Source organism: Homo sapiens, chromosome 16, assembly GCF_000001405.40.
Source record: "Homo sapiens chromosome 16, GRCh38.p14 Primary Assembly".
Classification (NCBI taxonomy): domain Eukaryota; kingdom Metazoa; phylum Chordata; class Mammalia; order Primates; family Hominidae; genus Homo; species Homo sapiens.
In genome coordinates this window covers 88240114-88259552 of record NC_000016.10, presented here as the reverse complement: position 1 = coordinate 88259552, position 19439 = coordinate 88240114, and the positions used below count along the sequence as shown (strand labels likewise).

General features: G+C 47.8%; 1 protein-coding gene across 1 annotated transcript in view, besides 3 other annotated features; it reads right to left on the bottom strand.

Moving 5' to 3' along the window:
• ZNF469 (zinc finger protein 469) overlaps positions 1–19439 on the bottom strand; it is a 339823-nt gene that overhangs the window by 181201 nt on the left and 139183 nt on the right. The window lies entirely within an intron of this gene.
• Positions 101–847: an enhancer, noted in NCBI's record as "H3K27ac-H3K4me1 hESC enhancer chr16:88292312-88293058 (GRCh37/hg19 assembly coordinates)". NCBI's record gives its function as "activates a minimal SCP1, AML or CMV promoter by ChIP-STARR-seq in primed H9 embryonic stem cells {active_cell/tissue: H9 hESC(primed)}" and the evidence as "EXISTENCE:reporter gene assay evidence [ECO:0000049][PMID:30033119]".
• Positions 16717–17217: an enhancer, noted in NCBI's record as "H3K4me1 hESC enhancer chr16:88275942-88276442 (GRCh37/hg19 assembly coordinates)". NCBI's record gives its function as "activates a minimal SCP1, AML or CMV promoter by ChIP-STARR-seq in naive H9 embryonic stem cells {active_cell/tissue: H9 hESC(naive)}" and the evidence as "EXISTENCE:reporter gene assay evidence [ECO:0000049][PMID:30033119]".
• Positions 19116–19410: an enhancer, noted in NCBI's record as "tiled region #6305; K562 Activating non-DNase unmatched - State 23:Low". NCBI's record gives its function as "activates a minimal TATA promoter and a strong SV40 promoter by Sharpr-MPRA in K562 cells {active_cell/tissue: K562}" and the evidence as "EXISTENCE:reporter gene assay evidence [ECO:0000049][PMID:27701403]".

Genomic DNA, 19439 nt, shown 5'->3' with positions numbered 1-19439 from the left:
GCTGCCGTGGCCCTGGAGAGTTCCCAGAGTATTTCCTGACGAAATGAACAGAAGACCACAGCCTTCTGCAGCGGAGGAGAAGCATGCGGGGCATCCACATCTACAAAGGCCCCAAAGTGGAAAAACCTGTTGTTTTTCCTGAGCAGCCCGGCTGGAAACAACGGCGGTTTTGTTTCGCAGACTCCGCAGAATCTGGCGGGCAGAGGGATGGGGGCGCGGGATGCGGCTGAGGGAAGGAGGGGGCGTCGACCCTTCCTGACCCACCGAGGACACCTCTCTGGCCCGCTTCGGGGGGGCGGGGGGTGGGTCGGCTTGCCCGGGAGGAAATCCCACTGCTTCCCACTCACAAGCCGGTGGGTGGCCGCGAGGCCTGGCCGCACGGCCTCATTCCTGCGACTTTCTTCTGCCTTGTGGCATGGCTTTTTCTTTTCCCCTAAGGAAAGTTTGCTTAAAGAGAAAGAGACACACATACCATTCTCTGGTCCTTTGAAGGGTTGAGCTAAGCTGGGTCAAGAGGAAATGGCGTGCTCAGTCACCCCTGAGAACAAAATACTCCCACGAGTTTTGGTGAGGCACGTGTGTCTTCTCAGCTCAAATCTCTACCACCCCACGGACAAGGCAGTTCAAATCCAGGCTCACCACCACCTGCTGTGTGGGTTGGGCAAGCTGTGGACATCTCTGAGCTTCGGTTCCTTGAGTGTAGAATAAGCATAACATCTGTGTAGAAGGATTACTGTGAGGGATGCTGTTTGTACACCTCCCACTGCCAGAACGCAAGTTCCATGAGGCTGGGGCTGCGTTTTCTGCATTGCTGCAAACCCTCTAAAATGTCATCCGAGTTCATCAGAACCACAAGGACCACCACCACCATCATCGTCACCCTCACCCAAACGCTCAAATCTCCAAGTGTCTAAACTCATGGGTCTGTGCCAAATGCTACCATGCTTAGCGTCCCCAAAGCTAGAGTCACCACGAAGAAGGTTCTCTCCAATATTACTGCCTTAAACTTCTAGCCCAGAACCCTCAATAAACTTGGGCACCTTTTGTGCTGGGCCTCCTTTAGCCGATGGCTCCAGGGCCCCTATCCCTGGCAGAGAAGGCCATCGGCAATGTAGGGGGTAAGCTGGGGGGGTGGGGGGGTGAGCCATTCAGCTCTGCTGAGCTGTGCTGTCTCATGGGAGTGGCCCCTCCCTTCCAGGAACCTTCCTTGAGCAAAATCCTCAAATGTCAGCAGGTGGTCTTGAAATCCCTTCCTCTGTGACACAGTAATTCAGAGATCTTAATGATGTTTCCCCAAAGTTAGAACATAGTGGCTGTTCCCTAACACACACACACACACACCCTTTCTCTGTTATGTGTCTCCCATAATTTTTCTGTTTCTCAATTATGTTTCTTTCTCTGTTATGTTTGTCTATTATTTCTTCTTTGAATTGTCAATGCCTGCTTCTACTGGTCTGTACCAGGTTCTATTGCAATCACCTCTGGTTGGGGCAAAACTGCACATTTAGCTATTTTATAAGTGTTTCCTTGTACTTCATAGAGGGCATCAGAGCCCTTGCAGCATGTGGGCACACGGGTCAGAGGATGCAGACTGAAAGGAGCTTCTGGACGCACATTCTATTCTCATTCTGGAGCCAAGGAAGTGAGAGGGGAAAAGGGAAGTGATTCTAAGCCTTTTGTGGGGTCTCATACATAACTCAGTTTCCACAAAGCTGTGCCCCAGCTCAGCCCTATGGATAGAAGCATGGTCTGGGGTTCCTTTGCTGACCAGGGTGTGTGCTTTGTCCAAGTTACTGACCTTCCCAAACCTCATCAATGCACATAAAAAGAGCACTTGCAAACAATGAATCTAGACATGGACCTTCACAAAGAAATAACTCAAAATGGATCCCAGGCCTAAATGAAAAATGAAAAACTATAAAACTCCTAGAAGATAACATAAAAGAAGATCTAGATGACCTAGGGTTTGGCAATGACTTTTTAGATCCAGCACCAAAGGCAGGATCCAGGAAAGAAATAATTGATAAGCTGGACTTCATTAAAACGAAAACTTCTGCTCTGTGAAAGATGCTGCCAAAAAATGAAAAGACAAGCCACAGACTGGGAGAAAATATTTTTGATGGAAATATCTGAGAAGAGAGGCTTGTTATCCAAAATATACAAAGAATTCCTAAAACTCAATAATTTGAAAATAAACAACCCAATTTAAAAAGTGGGCCAAAGATCTTAAATGACGCCTCACCAAAGAAGATACACAGATGGCAAATAAGCATATGAAAAGATGCTCCCGGCTGGGCACGGTGGCTCACGCCCGTAATCCCAGCACTTTGGGATGCCAAGGCAGGCAGATCACCTGAGGTCAGGAGTTGGAGACCAGCCTGGCCAACATGGCAAAACCCTTTCTCTACTAAAAATGCAAAAAAAAAAAAAAAAAAAATTAGTGGGGTATGGTGGTGCATGCCTGTAATCCCAGCTACTCAGGAGGCTGAGGCAGGAGAATCACTTGAACCTAGGAGGCGGAGGTTGCAGTGGGCTGAGATTGTGCCACTGCAGTCCAGCATGGGCAACAAGAGTGAAACTCCATCAACGAAAGAAAAGAAAAGAAAGAAAGAAAGAAAGAAAGAAAGAAAGAAAGAAAGAAAGAAAGAAAGAAAGAAGGAAAGAAAAGAAAAGAAAAGAAAGAAAGGAAGGAAAAAGGAAGGAAGAAAGGAAGGAAGGAAGAAAGAAAAGAGGCTCCTCACCACACATGTCATCAGGGAAATGCAAATTAAAATAAGCATAAGATATCGCCTCTCACCTAACAGCGTGGCTAAAACCCAGAACTCTGACAACACCAAATGCTGGGCGAGGATGTGGAGCAACAGGAACTCTCACTCATTGCTGATGGGAATGCAAAATGGTGTGGCCACTGTGGAAGACAGTTTGGTAGCTTCTTAAAAAGCTAAAACATGCTCTTACCATACCACCCAGTAATTACACTCCTTGATATTTACCCAAAGGAGTTGGAAACTTATGTTCACATAAAAACCTACACACAGACGTTTATAGCAGCTTTATTCACTGTGGCCAAAATGTGGGAGCACCCAAGATAGCCCTCCATAAGTGAATGGATAATAAACTATGGTCCATCCAGACAGTGGAGCATTATTCAGCACTAAACAGAAATGAGCTGCAAACCATGAAAGGATGTGGAGGACATGTAAGTGCATATTACTAAGTCAAAGAAGACAGTCTTAAAAAGCTACGTAGTGTGTGCTTCCAACTATGTGACATCCTGGAAAAGGCAAAACTGTGAGAGCCATCAAAAGATGAGTGGTTGCCCGGGGCTGGCAGGAGGGTGAGATGAACAGGCAGGACAGAGAGGATTTTTAGGGCGGTGAAACTACTTTGTATGATACCATAATGGTGGATAGATATTGTTAGAAATTTTTCCAAACCCACAGAATGTACACCACCAGGAATGAACCCTGATGTATGACAGAGCAGGAGCATCGCCATTTTGGACAAGTACCACCGTTTTAAAGTTCCCCATGATCAAAAACGGCCTAAATCCAACCCAAGGGGAATCAGCCTAATGGCTAATGTCAGCATGACCATAAATCACAAATGACATCTCCAACCAGAAACATGCCAACCCTAAGACAAACCCTTCCGTAACCAGAGACATGCCAGCCCAGAGGTAACCTTCCCTCCGACCAGAGACATTCCAACCCTGTAATAAACTTCTCCTCCACACAGAAACATCCTAAGGCTGTGATAAGCTCTCTCGCCCTGAACCCTTCCATACTCTTAGTCTGTAAGACAGAGCACTCCTGACTGAAATTGGCCAGAAGCCCCTCTCAGGTTTATTCTCCAAAATAAACCTGTCTCGGACTGTTGAGGCACTTTTCAGGATTCTTTCCTCTTTCTTTAACTCTTACAACGTAAACCGTGGACTTTGGTTGATAATAATGTGTCAGTGTAGGTTTATAAGCTGGAATGAATGTACCACTCTAGTGAGGGATGTTGATAATGAGAGAGGCAATGCCTGTGTGGGGGCAGAGGATATATGGGAAATCTCTGTACCTTCTGCTCAATGTTGCTGTGAACTTAAAACAGAGGTTTAGACTTTGCTCTAAAAATTAAGTTTATTAAAAATAGCACTTTCTTTATAGCTGTGTTGGGATGATATGAGATAACACAGGGAAAGCATGTAGAAAATACCTGGCACATAATTATCATTACTATTGAGTTTCCTTTCCCATAGAACCCATCTGGCTTAGCACTATATTCTAAGTGTTTGGGCATATCACTGATGCTTGATAAATGTTTGAGGAATGAATGAGAGGACCCTGCAACATATGCAGCCTGCATCTGCACATTGGCAAGAGCAACCCACAGCCCAACTGTGAATGTCTTAAATTACTTGGGCTCATTGTCCAAGATTTTTTATTTCTCCCAGCTATCGGACCCTAAGCAATTTGAGAGCACAGCCCATATCGTACATGTCTATGTATGACATAGTTGTATATTAAGAAAAGAAGCTACTGAACAATTTTACACTGAAAATGTCAAAAGATTATTGAGAGAAATTAAATAAGACCTAAATAAATGGAGAAGTATACCATGTTCATGGATTCAAACACTCAATACCATTACAATGTTAATTTTCCCCAAAATTTATCTGTAATCTCAAAGCATTTGCAATCAAAACTCTAGCTGATTTTTTTTTTTGTGGAAGTCGATAAGCTGTTTCTAAAAGTTATACAGAGATGCAAAGGGATCTAGAATAGCCTATTTATTTATTTATTTATTGAGACAGAGTTTCACTCTTGTCACCCAGGCTGGAGTGCAATGATGCAATCTTGGCTCACTGCAACCTCCGCCTCCCAGGATCAAGCAATTCTCCTGCCTCAGCCTCCGGAGTAGCTGGGATTACAGGCATGTGCCACCACGCCCGGCTAATTTTTGTACTTTTAGTAGAGACGGGGTTTCATCATATTGGCCAGGCTACTCTTGAACTCCTGACCTCGAGTGATCTGCCCACCTCGGCCTCCCCAAGTGCTGGGATTACAGGCGTGATCCACCATGCCCGGCTGCCAGATGATCTCTAAAGAGAACAACACAATTAGAGGAGCTATACTATCTGACTTTAAGACTTACTATAAATATACAATAATCAACAAAGTATTATATTGGTGTATGAATGGACAAATAGTTCAATAAAATTAGAGAATCTAGACATAGACCCCATATATACAACTGACTTTTAGTAAAGACATCATGGCAACTCACTTGGAAAAGGGAAGACTTTTTAATAAATGGTGCAGGGACAATTGGCGATCACGTGGAAGGAAATAAATCTCTACCTCTATCTCAATCTGTGCAAAACTATGAATTTGCAATGCATTGTTGCCTAAACATAGAACCTAGAGCAGTAATGTTTACAGAAGAAAACACTAGAGAATATCTTTGTGATGTTGGGATAGGCAAGTATTTATCAGACAGAAGCCAAAAGTAATAACCAGAAAAGAAAAAAGTTAAATTTGGCTTTATCAAAATTGATAATTTCTGCTCATTAAATAACACTATTAGGAAATGGAAAAAAAAAAGCTACAGACTAGGAGAAAATATTCACAATGTAGATTTGGCATGGAACTGAACATCAAATAATATAAAGAACTGCTTCAAACCAGTAAGAACAAGACAAACCACCTGTTAAAAATGGACAAAAGGGCTGGGCGCGGTGGTGCACGCCTGTAATCCCAGCACTTTGGGAGGCCGAGGTGGGAGGATTGCTTGAGGTCAGGAGTTCGAGACTACCCTGGCCAGCATGGTGAAACCCTGTCTCTACTAAAAATACAAAAATTAGCCAAGGCATGGTGGCTGGCGCCTGTGATCCCAGCTACTCAGGAGGCTGAGGCAGAAGAATTGTTTGAACCCTGGAGGCAGAGTTTGCAGTGAGCCGAGATCACTCCATTACACTGCAGCCTGGGCAACAGAATGAGACTCCATCTCCAAAAACAAAAACAACAACAACAAAAAATGGACAAAAGATTTGAACACAACCTTATGCAAGAAAATCCACAAATGGTCCCTAAGCTCAGTAAAAGGGGGTCCACATCATCAGTCATCAGGGAACTAGAAATGCAAATCCCACAGTGAGATGCAGCCTCACGCTCACTAAAAGAGCTAAAAGGAAAAAACAAGACAAGCCCAAGTGTAGGTAATGAAGCGGGACAACCAGGTCCCTCACTGATCGTCAGGGAGTTACTGTGGAAATCTCTGCGAGGGTTTCTAATAGGCAAAATGTCTTCTGCTCAGCGACCCCTCATTTCAATTCCTAGGTAGGCACATAAGAGAAATGAAACGTGGCCACAAGAAGGCATGGATAAGAATGCTGACAGCAACTTTATTCATGACAGTCAAAACCCCTCTAACATTCCAAAGATCTATTCAAATGTTAACAAGTAAGTGACCTGAAACGGTGATAATTCATTCATCCCATGGACTCTTGCTCAGTGATAAAAAGCAATGAGCCACTGAAATACACAACAGCGTAATCTCAAAAACACCATGTGAAGCAAAAAACCGGCAGATACAAAGGAACGTATGCTATAGGATTCTGCTTAAAGGAAGTTCAAGAAAAGGCAGAAATAACGCAGGCTATAGAGATTCAAAGAGTGGCTGCCTCTGGGAGATGTTGGTGGAACTGACTGGAAAAGAGATGAGAGAAATTTCTGGGGTGAAAAACGTTCTATGTCTTCATATGAGTGTTGATTATATAGGCTATACATTTGTCAAAACTCATCAAATCACACACTTAACATATGTGCTTATTACTGTAAGTTATGCTTCAGTAATACACACATACACATGCGTGTATATATACTTTATTCAAATGAAGTCATAGTCTCTATAGATATCAACATACTTAAGTATTTAGCGAAGAACTTCTGGGAATGGCATGAGAGCTGAGTGGTTATGTGAACCTTCCCGCAGATAACAACTCCAAACACTTCATAAAATGTAAACAGTGATGATTTAAATACTCTATAAAGAGATGAGAAGCCAAGAGAAGCCAGAGGAGAGGTGACTGTCAACTGCAAATGGAAGTGTTAGGAGCTGTGAGTTTGCAGCTTTCTGTCTTGACGGCACAGCCTTGGTGGAAATCACAGCCCGACAGACTCCAGGTGCCAGAGATGAGGGGCAAGACTGCCTGGGTGTGGAGTATATACATACAGGGGAGATCTTGGCAGTGAGAAAAGTTGGCTTGAAACTCCACACCCAGGGTGAGCTCTGCCCAAATCCCTGGCTGACAATTAGACTGTGCATATGCAGAGGGAGTCCCAGGCAGCCATCAATAAGCAGGGAAACGCCAGAGTGGAGCCACTTCTTGAAAGATGGAGTTGCACAGGGCAAGGTCTGTGTGCTGCTGCCTTTTTAAATGAGTGCATGCCCCAGCTGTGTGCAGCTCAAGAGGCAGACACCTGAAGCCGTAGATGCTTGAAGAGGACAGAGCCCAAAGCTGGCAGAGCTGTGGAAATTCAGGAGTACTCACTGGAAGCAAGGAAGCCACTGAGACACCGAGACCCTAAATCTGAGCATAGCCTTAGCCCAGATCCATGGCTGCCTGCCCCGTTGCACAGGTGCAGGGAAAATCTCCAGGATTCAGGCTTAAAAATCAGCAGCTGGAGCCATAAGAAGAGAGCAGGGGCCCGGCGCGGTGACTCACACATGTAATCCCAGCACTCTGGGAGGCCGAGGCAGGTGGATCACTTAAGGTCAGGAGTTTGAGACCAGCCTGGCCAACAAGGTGAAACCCTGTCTTTACTCAAAATACAAAAATTAGCCAGGTGTGGTGGTATGCACTGATAGTCCCAGCTACTCAGAAGGCTGAGACAGGAGAATTGCTTGAACCCGGGAGGTGGAGGTTGCAGTGAGCCGAGATCACGCCACTGCATTGTAACCTGGGCGACACAGCAAGTCTCCATCTCAAAAAAAAAAAAAAAAAAAAAAAAAAAAAAAAAAAAAAGACAGCAGGGACATTAGCTGCTTACCACAGAGATGGCAATGTTTGTCCTTAGAATCCAGCACATGACAGCTGTTAGAACAAAAAAAGCAACAATCTTCAGAAGAACACAACAGATTCCAGAGCTGCTGCCGACATAGCATCTACATTCTACATGTAGATTACCTGACACGTGCATGTAGACATGACACATGCAATGTCCAAATGTTAAATGACATTCAACAAAACAGGGAAGTGTGACTCGTGCTCAAGAACAAATGATTCCCAGTTAATCCAGATAATGGGTTTCACAGAGAGAGTTCAAATGAGATGTTATAAATGTGTTCAGAGACCTGAAGGAAAATGTGCTATCAAAAACCAAACAGGCCGGGCGCGGTGGCTCATGCCTGTAATCCCAGCACTTTGGGAGGCTGAGGCGGGTGGATCACCTGAGGTCAGGAATTTGAGACCAGCCTGGCCAGTAAGGTGAAACCCCGTCTCTACTGAAAATATAAAAATGAGCTGGGTGTGTTGGCAGGTGCCTGTAGTCCCAGCTACTTGGGAGGCTGAGGCAGGAGAATCGCTTGAACCCGGGAGGCAGAGTTTGCAGTGAGCCGAGATCATGCCGCTGCACTCCAGCCTGTGGGACAGAGCAATACCCCATCTCAAAACAAAAAAACCCCAAAACGGAAAAACCCCGAACAGGTAGGAAGCCTCAACAAAGTAACAGAAACTACAACAGATGCGTGATAAATCTGGAGCTCAAAAGTACCATGACTGAGATTTTAAAAACTTGCTAGTTTTTAAACAGATTGGGGTTGGAAGAAGAAAGAATCAGAGAACCTGGAAATAAGTGAAAACAAATTACTTAATTTGAAAAATGGAGAAAACATTATTGAAAAGAAAGGAATAGAACTTCAGAAACCTATGCAAAAACCGCAAGCAGTGCAGCCTATGTGGAAATGGAATTCCAGAGGCATGAGAGGGAAAGTCACTTGAAAAATACGTGAAGAAATGACATAAAACTTCCCAGATTTGGTGCAAAACATAAATTTACAGTTCTAAGAATCTCAGTGAAGCCCGGGCAGGATAAACAAATCCGTCGACAACAGAATGGATAAACAAACTGTTTTATATTCACAAAATGAAATACTATTCAGCAATAAAAATTATAAACTAGAGCTACATGTAACAGAATGAATAACTCTTCACAAAAAATATATTGAACAAAAGAAGCCTAATGCACAGGAATAACGTGATATGATTCCACTCATATAAAGTTCAAATAGGCGAGACTAACTCAAGGTGATAGAGGTGAAAATGGCAGCGCCCTTTAGTGAAGAGGAGAGGGAAGTCCCACGGAGGTGCAGTAGGAGCATCTCTGGGGTGTTGGTCTTGTTCCGTTTCCTGATCTGATTGGTGGCTTTGTTTTGTGAAAACGCTTTGCATTAGATATATACAGCTTCGCTTTTCTGCACATACATTATACTTGAATTGCAAAGTAAGAATGTTTTTAATTTTAAAAAGGGATAGACAGAGAATAATGAGAGGTAAGCGACATTTTCACTTGAGGAGCCAACTTCAACCCAAATCCTGGAGGTCGAGAAGGAACCAGCTATGCTGAAGGTCAGGGAGGAGCACTTGGCACAGGGGCCTTGGGGTGAGGAGGAGTCACACATGATCTAGAAGCAGGTCATGGGGGCTGGGTGCAGGGGCTCACGCCTGTGATCCCAGCAATGTGGGAGGCCAAGCAGGGAGAATCACTTGAGCCCAGACCAGCCAGGGCAAAATAGCAAGACCCTGTCTCTATAAAAAAATTAAAAAATTGGCCGGGCGTGGTGGCTCACGCCTGTAATCCCAGCGCTTTGGGAGGCCGAGGTGGGCGGATCACAAGGTCAGGAGATCGAGACCATCCTGGCTAACACGGTGAAATCCCGTCTCTACTAAAAATATAAAAAATTGGCCCGGCGTGGTGGCAGGCACCTGTAGTCCCAGCTACTTTGGAGGCTGAGGCAGGAGAATGGTGTGAACCAGGGAGGTGGAGCTTGCAGTGAGCCGAGATGGTGCCACTGCACTCCAGCCTGGCTGACAGAGCAAGATTCCAACTCAAAAAAAAAAAAAAAAAAAAAAAAAGAAAAAGAAAAAGAAAGAAAAAGAAAAAGAAAAAAAAATGGCAGTTGTGGTGTAGTCCCATCTTGGGAGTCCTGCTTGGGAGGCTAAAGTGGGAGGATGGCTTGAGCCCAGGAGTTCGAGACTACAGTGAGGTATGATTGTGGCCCTGCACTCCAGCCTGAGCAACAGCCTGAGACCCCATTTCTTTCTTTCTTTTTTTTTTTAAACAGAAGCTGGCTGTGGGTATTGACGGCATATTGTTATCTTACCCATAAAAGGAGTGGAGCTACTATCCAGCAGTGGCTCGGGGCACCTGGGACATGGGATACTGGATAATCCCTGTGGCTATTTCATTTGGGGCATCAGCAATGGATGTGGGGTTAAAAAGAGCGCATAGACATGTGTGTGCAGCGTGAGAGGGAGACAGCCAGGGGCCTTGCAAGACACACGGACACACAGTCACAGAGGGAGACAGACACACTGAGGAAGGTGGACAGAGAGGCCGAGGGACACAGCGGGGAGGGAAAGACTGAGGCTGAGACCATGGTGCGCACACAGAGAGATCATCCCTGCCAGACAAAGGAAAAGCTTTGAAGTGGAGAAAGGGCACCTGCCTCAGCCCGACAGCTGGCTTCTGATCCCCGCTCTGCTACTACTGGCTGACCTGTTGAAATGAGTGGCTGGACCTCCCTGTACCCGTCTCGTCATCTGCAATGTGGGGGAGTCCAGATGAATAAATGCAAAGGTTTCTAACTCCAAAGTTCCATGATGCTGAGTTCATAAACATGTTATAACACTCTCTCTTTTATTTAATGTTATAACTAGCCCATCTTCCTCTCTCATGGTACTATTATAGCATACACTCAAGTTTTATAAATTCTACACAAGTTAAAATTAGTTGGGGGGAATTGTTTTTTTGAGACAGGGGTCTCACTATCTTGCCCAGGCTGGTCTCAAGTGATCCTCCTGCCTTGGCCTCCCAAAGTGCTGGGATTACAAGCATGAGCCACTGTGCCTGGCAGTTGGGGGGAATTTTTAGAGAGTGTTGCAACTCTGAGAGAGAAACTGGACCAATATTTCAGTCCCCGAATGTCTGCTCACAGCTTTTATCAAAGACACGGATCCATTTGACCGCCTTTTTCACGCTTGGTCCTATCAGGCCTGGTTCAGCTTTGAATTTTTCTTGATAATTTCCACAGTGGTTACTAAATGCACTTCTACGTTGAAGGCAAGCTCTCTCACCCTAAGAGTGCTTTCTCTGTTCCCTTAAAAATGGCCAATTCTATTTCTCTCCTTGTGTATCCCACTGGTTGGTTCACAAGCCCCCAAAGTCAGAGACTGGTTCTCTGGCTCTCATCTGTCTCTGACCTGGCTGTGGCCTGTCTCTCCAACCCCACTGGAGCAGCCCTGTGTGGGTGGCCTCCCACTTGGTTGAGGCTGGCTGCTCTGATAGCCTTCCGTCCAGCCGCGTCACAGCTTGGGACGACCACTGAACAATGCTTATACGTTCCGAGGGTCAGCAATTTGGATGTCTGGCAGCTCAGCTGAGAAGACTCAAATCTGGACATGACCCAACCATGGGAGCTGGGTTCACCCAAGCAGTCACTCATTCATACACTCACTCACTCATTCACTCACTCACTCACTCATTCACTCATTTACTCACTCCCTCATTCACTGACTCATTCACTCACTGACTCATTCACTCACTCATTGACTCACTCACTCGCTCATTGACTCACTCATTCACTCACTCACTCACTCATTCAGTCATTCACGATTCACTCATTCACTCACTCACTCATCCACTCATTCACTCTCACTCATTCAATCAAACATTCACTCACTCACTCGTTCACTCAGTCATTCACTCACTCAGTCACTCACTCAGTCACTCATTCATTCACTCATTCACTCACTCACTCATTCACTCACTCACTCATTCCCTCACTCACTGATTCATTCACTCATTCACTCACTCATTCATTCATTCACTCATTCACTCACTTATTCACTCATTCATTCATTCACTTATTCACTCACTCACTTATTTACTGATTGACTCATTCATTCACTCACTCATTCATTCACTCACTCATTCACTCACTCATTCACTCATTCACCATTCACTCACTCATTCACTCACTCACTCATTCACTCGCTCACTCATTTACTCACTCACTCTTTCACTTGTTCCTTCACTCATTCACCATTCACTCCCTCATTCACTCACTTATTCCCTCACTCATTCACTCGCTGATTCACTCACTCATTCACTCAGTCATTCACGATTCACTCATTCACTAACTCACTCATCCACTCATTCACTCACTCATTCAATCATTCACTCACTCGTTCACTCAGTCATTCACTCACTCAGTCACTCACTCAATCACTCACTCATTCATTCACTCATTCACTCATTCACTCACTCATTGATTCACTCATTCACTCACTCATTCATTCATTCACTCATTCACTCACTTATTCACTCATTCATTCATTCACTTACTCATTCACTCACTCACTCCTTCACTGATTGACTCATTCACTCATTCACTCACTCATTCATTCACTCACTCATTCACTTGCTCATTCACTCACTCATTCACCATTCACTCACTCATTCACCATTCACTCCCTCATTCACTCATTTATTCCCTCCCTCACTCACTCACTGATTCACTCACTCATTCACTCACTCACTCACAGTCACCTCTTTACCTTTGCCCTTGCTGCTCCTGCTCCCTAAAGCGGTGGTTCTCAAAGTGTGGTCCCTGTACCTGCAGATCAGCATCACTAAAACTTGTTGAAAATGTAAATTCCTGGGCTTCACTTTGACCTACGAATAAAAAATTCTGGGTTGGTGCCAGTGATCTGTGTTTTAGCAAGCGCTCTTGGCGATTCTAATGCAGGCTGAAGTGTGAGAACGAGTGTGCCAAGACAGCCTCCTCCTACCCGTCTCCATGCCTGATTGATGCCTACAGGTCCTTCAACAAATTCTCCCCTCATCTGGGAATCCTTACTTGGCTTGCTCTGAGATGGGGTTCCTGGTCCCCCAGCTCCTTTGCTCCCCCACTATGACGCTTATCACACCTGTTTCTGCCAGTCTCCTGGGTAAAGTTTCCTGAAGATGGAACTGGTACCTGACACATCAGGTGCACAGCAAATGTTAAATACAGAAGGGATGAATAAATGAATGAAAACATGAGTAAGTGAATGAACACAGACTTTACTGAGTCTTTTCTGGTGGTAGAGTTGGGGTTATGAACATGGGCAAGGCGGAGCTCCTGCCCTTGGCTTGCTCTCAGAACATCATGGGGAGCAAAGAATAAATGAATGAGGCCCTCCAGGGGCTTGGGGCCAGAGCTGATGGCTGCATGAGGGAAGCCCTTTGAGCACTGGCTGACCTTCCTGTGTCCAATAAACTTTGCATGGCGCCCAGGCGGATGCGTCCTCTCTGCTTTTGTTGGATGAGCCAAAGCAACCATTCCAGCTGCTGAGCCAGGCAGGAGGATGTCCCCGGGCTATGTACTGCTCCAGCCCCAGTCCCTGTGGTCTGTTCGGCTGCCTTTGTCACCGGGACACACACCAGGCACGCTCAATGTCTGGACTTCAGTCATCCTTCCTCACTGGTCTTTGTTCTAGTGTCTGGTGGCTGCATGGAGAGTTCCCAGAGCAGCTCTGATCCAGAGTAAACAAACCCTGCCCACCGTGTGATCTGAAGAAATGGCCTAAAAATAGGCCGGGGAGTCTTGACTCATGAGCTCTGTAGGCAAGGGGGAGAAGGACACTTGGGGATGAGAATTCCCCTCTTCGGGATTTGGGCTTGTGGAGGATGAGGAAGGTGACCGTCACGTGGTGACTCATCTGGGAAAGCTCAGAGGCGACTGTTGCCTGTCAGCCTTGGATTTCTCCTGGGCAGCTGACCTCCCAGCCTCAGGGCTCATCTCCAGGACCCACAGAGGGAGATGACAGCAGTGAACTTCAGCCCTGCTGAGTCTCACAGCGGCTGCGGGAGGACGGTCCAGGAGGGAGAGGCCAAGAGCCTACGCATCCTCTCTCCAACTGTTCTGGAGCCAGACTCCAGCAAGCAGCAGACCATGAGAAACAGCTCTGCTCCCACAGCCTGCAGGACTGAGTCACAGCCTCCTCCTCTACTTAATCATCCTCATAGCCCGAAGTCCTTACTACATCGGTCCTAAGTTCCTCATGCTGCAGCAAGGCTGCACCAGGCTCACATGACTGTACCTCTGCTGAGACATCTTCATCAGGAAGGACTTGATCCCCTCAGAACACACCCCTTCTTTCCTCCCCTCCCTCATAGCAACATGACCCTTGATGAAGGGTCCACAGAGACCAAATGCTCCTTCCCTCGGAAACAAAATTCCTTTGCCCTACGGGTGTGTCCTGCTGCTCAGGAGTGCTGGGACTGTAGGACAAGGCCTAGTCTTCCGATGGGTCTTCTGATCAGTTCATGGTCTTCCTTTTAGCAGTGATATATTGGTGTCCCAGGGTTGTGCACTACTTCAGAGGGTCTCTTCTTGTCATTGGCACCAAGTTCCACATCTCCTGGGGACCATAAGTTTTTCTGCTTTCCTAAATCATAAACTTTCTGAGCCATGCCACTGGGCATATAATATGCACCAGTTGTCAAACTTAGGTGACTGTTTTATGCTTACCCAGCCATACCTCTGTTTAGCTACCCATCCACCCACTCATCCACTTACCCATCCACCCATCAATTCATCTATCCATCCATAAACCCATTTACCCACCCATCTACTAATCCATGCATTCATGCATCTACTAACCCATCCTTTCACTTATACATCCATCTGCCTAGACACCCACACATCCATCCATCCATCCATCCATGCATCCATCCACCCATCCAGCCATGCACCTGCCCATCCATCAATTCACTGATCCATCCATCCACGAATACATGCATCCACCCACTCATCAATGTATCCACCCACCCATCCTTCCACCCATCCATCCATCTATCCACCTATCCATCCATCCATCCATCCATCCATCCATCCATCCATCCACCCATGCATTCACCCATCCACCCATCCATCCATCCACCCATTCACCCATCCACTAACCCACTCATCCACCCATCCATCCAACCATCCACTCACCCATCCAGTCATTCATCCATCCATCCATTCACCCATCCATGTATGCATTCACCCTCCCAAACCCCCACCCACCCATCCATGCATGCATAAATGCATGTATCCACCCATCCATCCACCTACCCACCTATCTGTCCATCCACACATCCACCCATCCACCCATGCACCCATCCATCCATCCATCCATCCACCCACCCACCCATTCAGCCATCTACCTATCCATCCATCCATTCATCCATCCATGCACTCATCCATTCACCCATCCACCGATGATCCGTGCACTCACCCATACGTACATCCATCCATTCACTCATTGACTCATCCATCCATCCATCCATCCACACATACATTTATATATATATATATATATATATATATATATATATATATATGCATCCAGCCAGCCATCAGTTCACCTGTCCACTCATCCACCCATGCATCCAACCATCCATCCATGCACCCATCCATCCTTCCATCAATGCATCCACCTATTCATCTATTCACCCAATTCCTTTATCCATCCATCCTTGCATCCATCCATCTATTCATCCACCCTTCCATCCACCCATCTATCCACCCATCCACCCATTTATCCATCCATCCACCCATCTGTCCACCCATCTACCCATCCATCTACCCATCCACCCACCCATCCATCCAAACAGCACAGAGGAGGCATCTCCTCTGGACCACCTGCTAACGTACATGCAGGGACCATGGGGTTGAAGGAGATGCTCTACTCCCTCTGCTCGCCTGGGAACCCAAGTTCGCTTGTCCTTGAGAAATGCAGTCTTGGGGAGGTCCATCAGCAGATGACTACAGAGGAGGGGACAAGTGCCAAATGTGAACACAACTGATGGACGCTCTGTGCCTGGAGAATCTGAGGAAACTTCCAGAAGGGGTGGGTATATCTTACATCCCAACTGTGGCCAGAACCCTCTTGTAGACAGGGACTGGATCCTACTGGTATGACCATGGAAGAGCTCAGTGGTACAGGCATCCATGACTGAGCAGGCTTAGAGTGAGTGCTGTCAGGCTGTGAACGGATCTGTCAGCACTGGTGACCAATGGACCAACACTGACTATCTCAGGTGGGTGCCATTCTATGGTGGTCACATGAGGAGCTTATGAGCTGGCCACCAGCCAAGGACAATTCACTGTCTTCCAGCCTCGTGAGCCACTTGCTGAGCCCTGTCATGAGCAGTGATGATAAAGCAGCGGAAAGTGGGCCCAGGGGATGCAGAATACCCGGGCTGGCCAGCAGTGAGTTTGGAGACACTAGGCGGGTAGACATCCCCCACCGCATCAGTGTCTCCCTGTGGGGTTCGGTGAGCTGAGTCAAAGGCTTCTGTTCCTTTTGTTTTTGTTCATTCCATAAAGGATTTTCCTTGACTCATGGTTTCCCAGCTAGCTCCTTCCGAAGCCCTGGCAGGCAGGGGTGAATGCGTGCTCCAGGCTGCTGCTCCTTGGGTTTTCCCCTCCATGACAGGAATGTGTAAACACCCTGGGCTTTAGAGACAGTGCCAAGCCCCATGTGCCGGAGATGCCTCATGCTTTCAGGCAATGGCTAGCATCCTCGCTGTGGGAACCAGGCTGACCCTCAACCCGCTGCTGCCTAGGACCCTGCCTGGGAAAGGGGGCGGTGGTCAGGCTGGAGCTTCCTCCCATCTGCTCTGGGCTGAACTAGGTCCTCCCAAAGTGCACATGTAGAAGTCCTAACCCCCAGGGCCTAAGAATGTGACCGTATTTGGAGACAGGCTTAGAGAGGTGACTCAGGTAGCATGAGGTCATCTGGGTGGGCCCCAGTCCAATCTGCCTGGTGTCCTTCTAGGAGAAGATTAGGACATAGATGCACAGAGGGATGGCCAAGTGAGGTCACAAGGAGAAGGCGGCCTCGACAAGCCAGGGAGAGGCCTCAGAAGAGCCAGCCTTGCCGGCACCCTGACTCGGACTCTGGCCTCCAGAGCTGTGCAGAAATGCATTGTTGAAGAATTTTGAATGCATTTTGAATTTTGAAAATGCATTTAGAGAAGAAGCTGCAGACCAGGGTGAGACGGATGAGAAGCCGCTGATGAGAAGCCCTTGAACCTTAGGGCCCAGTGTGGGGCTCCAGGCTCCTCACCCTTGACCACTAGAGCCGGTTGCAGAGCGCTGGGCTCGAGTGCCTTTCCTGAAGGATGGCTTGGGCCACCTGCAGGTGGTGCTGTCTGCGACGTCCAGGGTTGGGGGACCCATGCCAGCCCCACCAAAGCCTCATGAGCTCCTTGCTCAGCCTTTAACAGTCTCGCCAAATTCCCTGGGTACGGCATGAACCCCCTTCCTCCCATCCTGTCTGCACAGCAGCGGGAAACAGCGCCTTCCAGCTGCAGGGTGCCCCCATCTCCCACACATTCCCAGAACTCCGGGAGGAGCCCTTGAGCCTCTCCTCTCCAGGCTGAGTCTCCACGGGGCCCTGAACTTGCTGGAGCAGGTCCCTCACCCTGAAGGGCAGGGGCAGCTGGGAGCACGTTGTTCCACCGGCCCCAAGCATGCTCCTTGTCATCTCATACCACCTCAGACATGGCATCCTTCTCCCCATGTTCCAGTGTGCATGGTGGAGAGGCCATGAAGCATCCCAGGGGTACAAGGTGATGACATCAGTGGTGTGATCGGGATGGGTGGGGACCGGATGTCAACACTCCCTGCCAGTGGGCTCTGCAAGCGCCTGCCAGGACCCTGAGCCTGTCATGAGTGCAAGGGAGGGACAACCACTGTGTCTGGTTCAGTGCTGGCTCCCCAGTTGTCGCCTGGGCCCTGGTGACACCTGAGCCCACCCCAGTGAGAGCACTGTCCCCAGAGCTCAGCCACCAACAGAGCTGCCACCAAGTCTGGGTTTATTCTCTTGAGCCTTACAGGTCCCCAACAAATAAACTTTTCATGTGACAATAGGGCTTTTTTTTTTTTTTTAGAGGGAGTCTCACCCTGCCGCCCAGGCTAGAGTGCAGTGGCGCGATCTTGGCTCACTGCAACCTCCACCTCCCGAGTTCAAGCAATTCTCCTGCCTCAACCTCCTAAGTAGCTGGGATTACAGGTGCGTGCCATGACACTTAGCTAATTTTAGTAGAGACAGGGTTTTGTCATGTTGCTCAGGCTGATCTCAAACTCCTGACCTCAAGTGATCTGCCTGCCTCAGCCTCCCAAGTCCTGGGATTACAGGCGTGAGCCACTGCGCCCGGCCTAACAATAGCACTTTTAACCCATGCTGCTCCGTGACCAAGCAGGGACAATGGCAGAGCCCTGCCAGGCAGCGTCTGACATGGTGTGGGCGGCCCTCCTGGCAGCCAGGGCCTGCAGGAAGATGGGGTTTCCGCCCAGCCCCTGGGGTGGGCCTCGGTGGCAGGTGGCTTGTGTGTCTCTTACCCCCACTGAGAGAGGGCTGGCGGTGCAGGCTGGGGCACACTGAGGGTCCCTGGCGTCAGCTGGGGAGGGGAAGTGGGCCGGGAAGGACTTTTCCATCACAAGGGGCTTTTCTTTTCAACCATCCTTCAAACCAACTCGCGGTTGCCCGTGGCTGCAGGTGACAGTGGTGATGTGCCTGTCTCCAAAATATCCCTAAGTTGCCTTCCACCTGGAGCGGTTAATTTCCCCTATTTTGAGGGCTCTGGGGTTGGCAGATACCCACTCTCCAGCCTTGCATCTTACACAGTGGCCTATCCCAGCTCCAGAGACGCTTCTCTCGCTCTCTGGTTGATGCATCTGCGTCTCTGTGGACCCCACGTTCTGCATATTAGTGCATTCCCTTTTCAATTCTTGCACCTGGTGGGCACAGTGTTGAGGCCAGGCGGTCAGCATGCCCGTGACCGATCCCATACAGAAAGGCCAGCCTCCCCACGCAGCCCTGGGCAACTGTCAGCTGCTAGCTGTGGCCTCTCTCCCACCATGCTCTTTCTCTGCCTCTCTCATTCCCTCCCTCCAAATCTCTCTCTCTTCCCCCATCACACGATTATTAGAGGAATGACTGGACTTCCTCCCACTCCTCCTTAAGTGACTCATTTCTGAAGGTCAGGCCACACTGTGGCTAAGTGAAAGAAACCCGTGTGAGAAGACACGTCCTGACCTCCAGAAATGACCGGGAGCACCTCCCACTGCTGATTGGGGCTGGCAGGACAGAGCAGGCTTTGAGAATCACCCCCTTAAATCATCATAGGCAG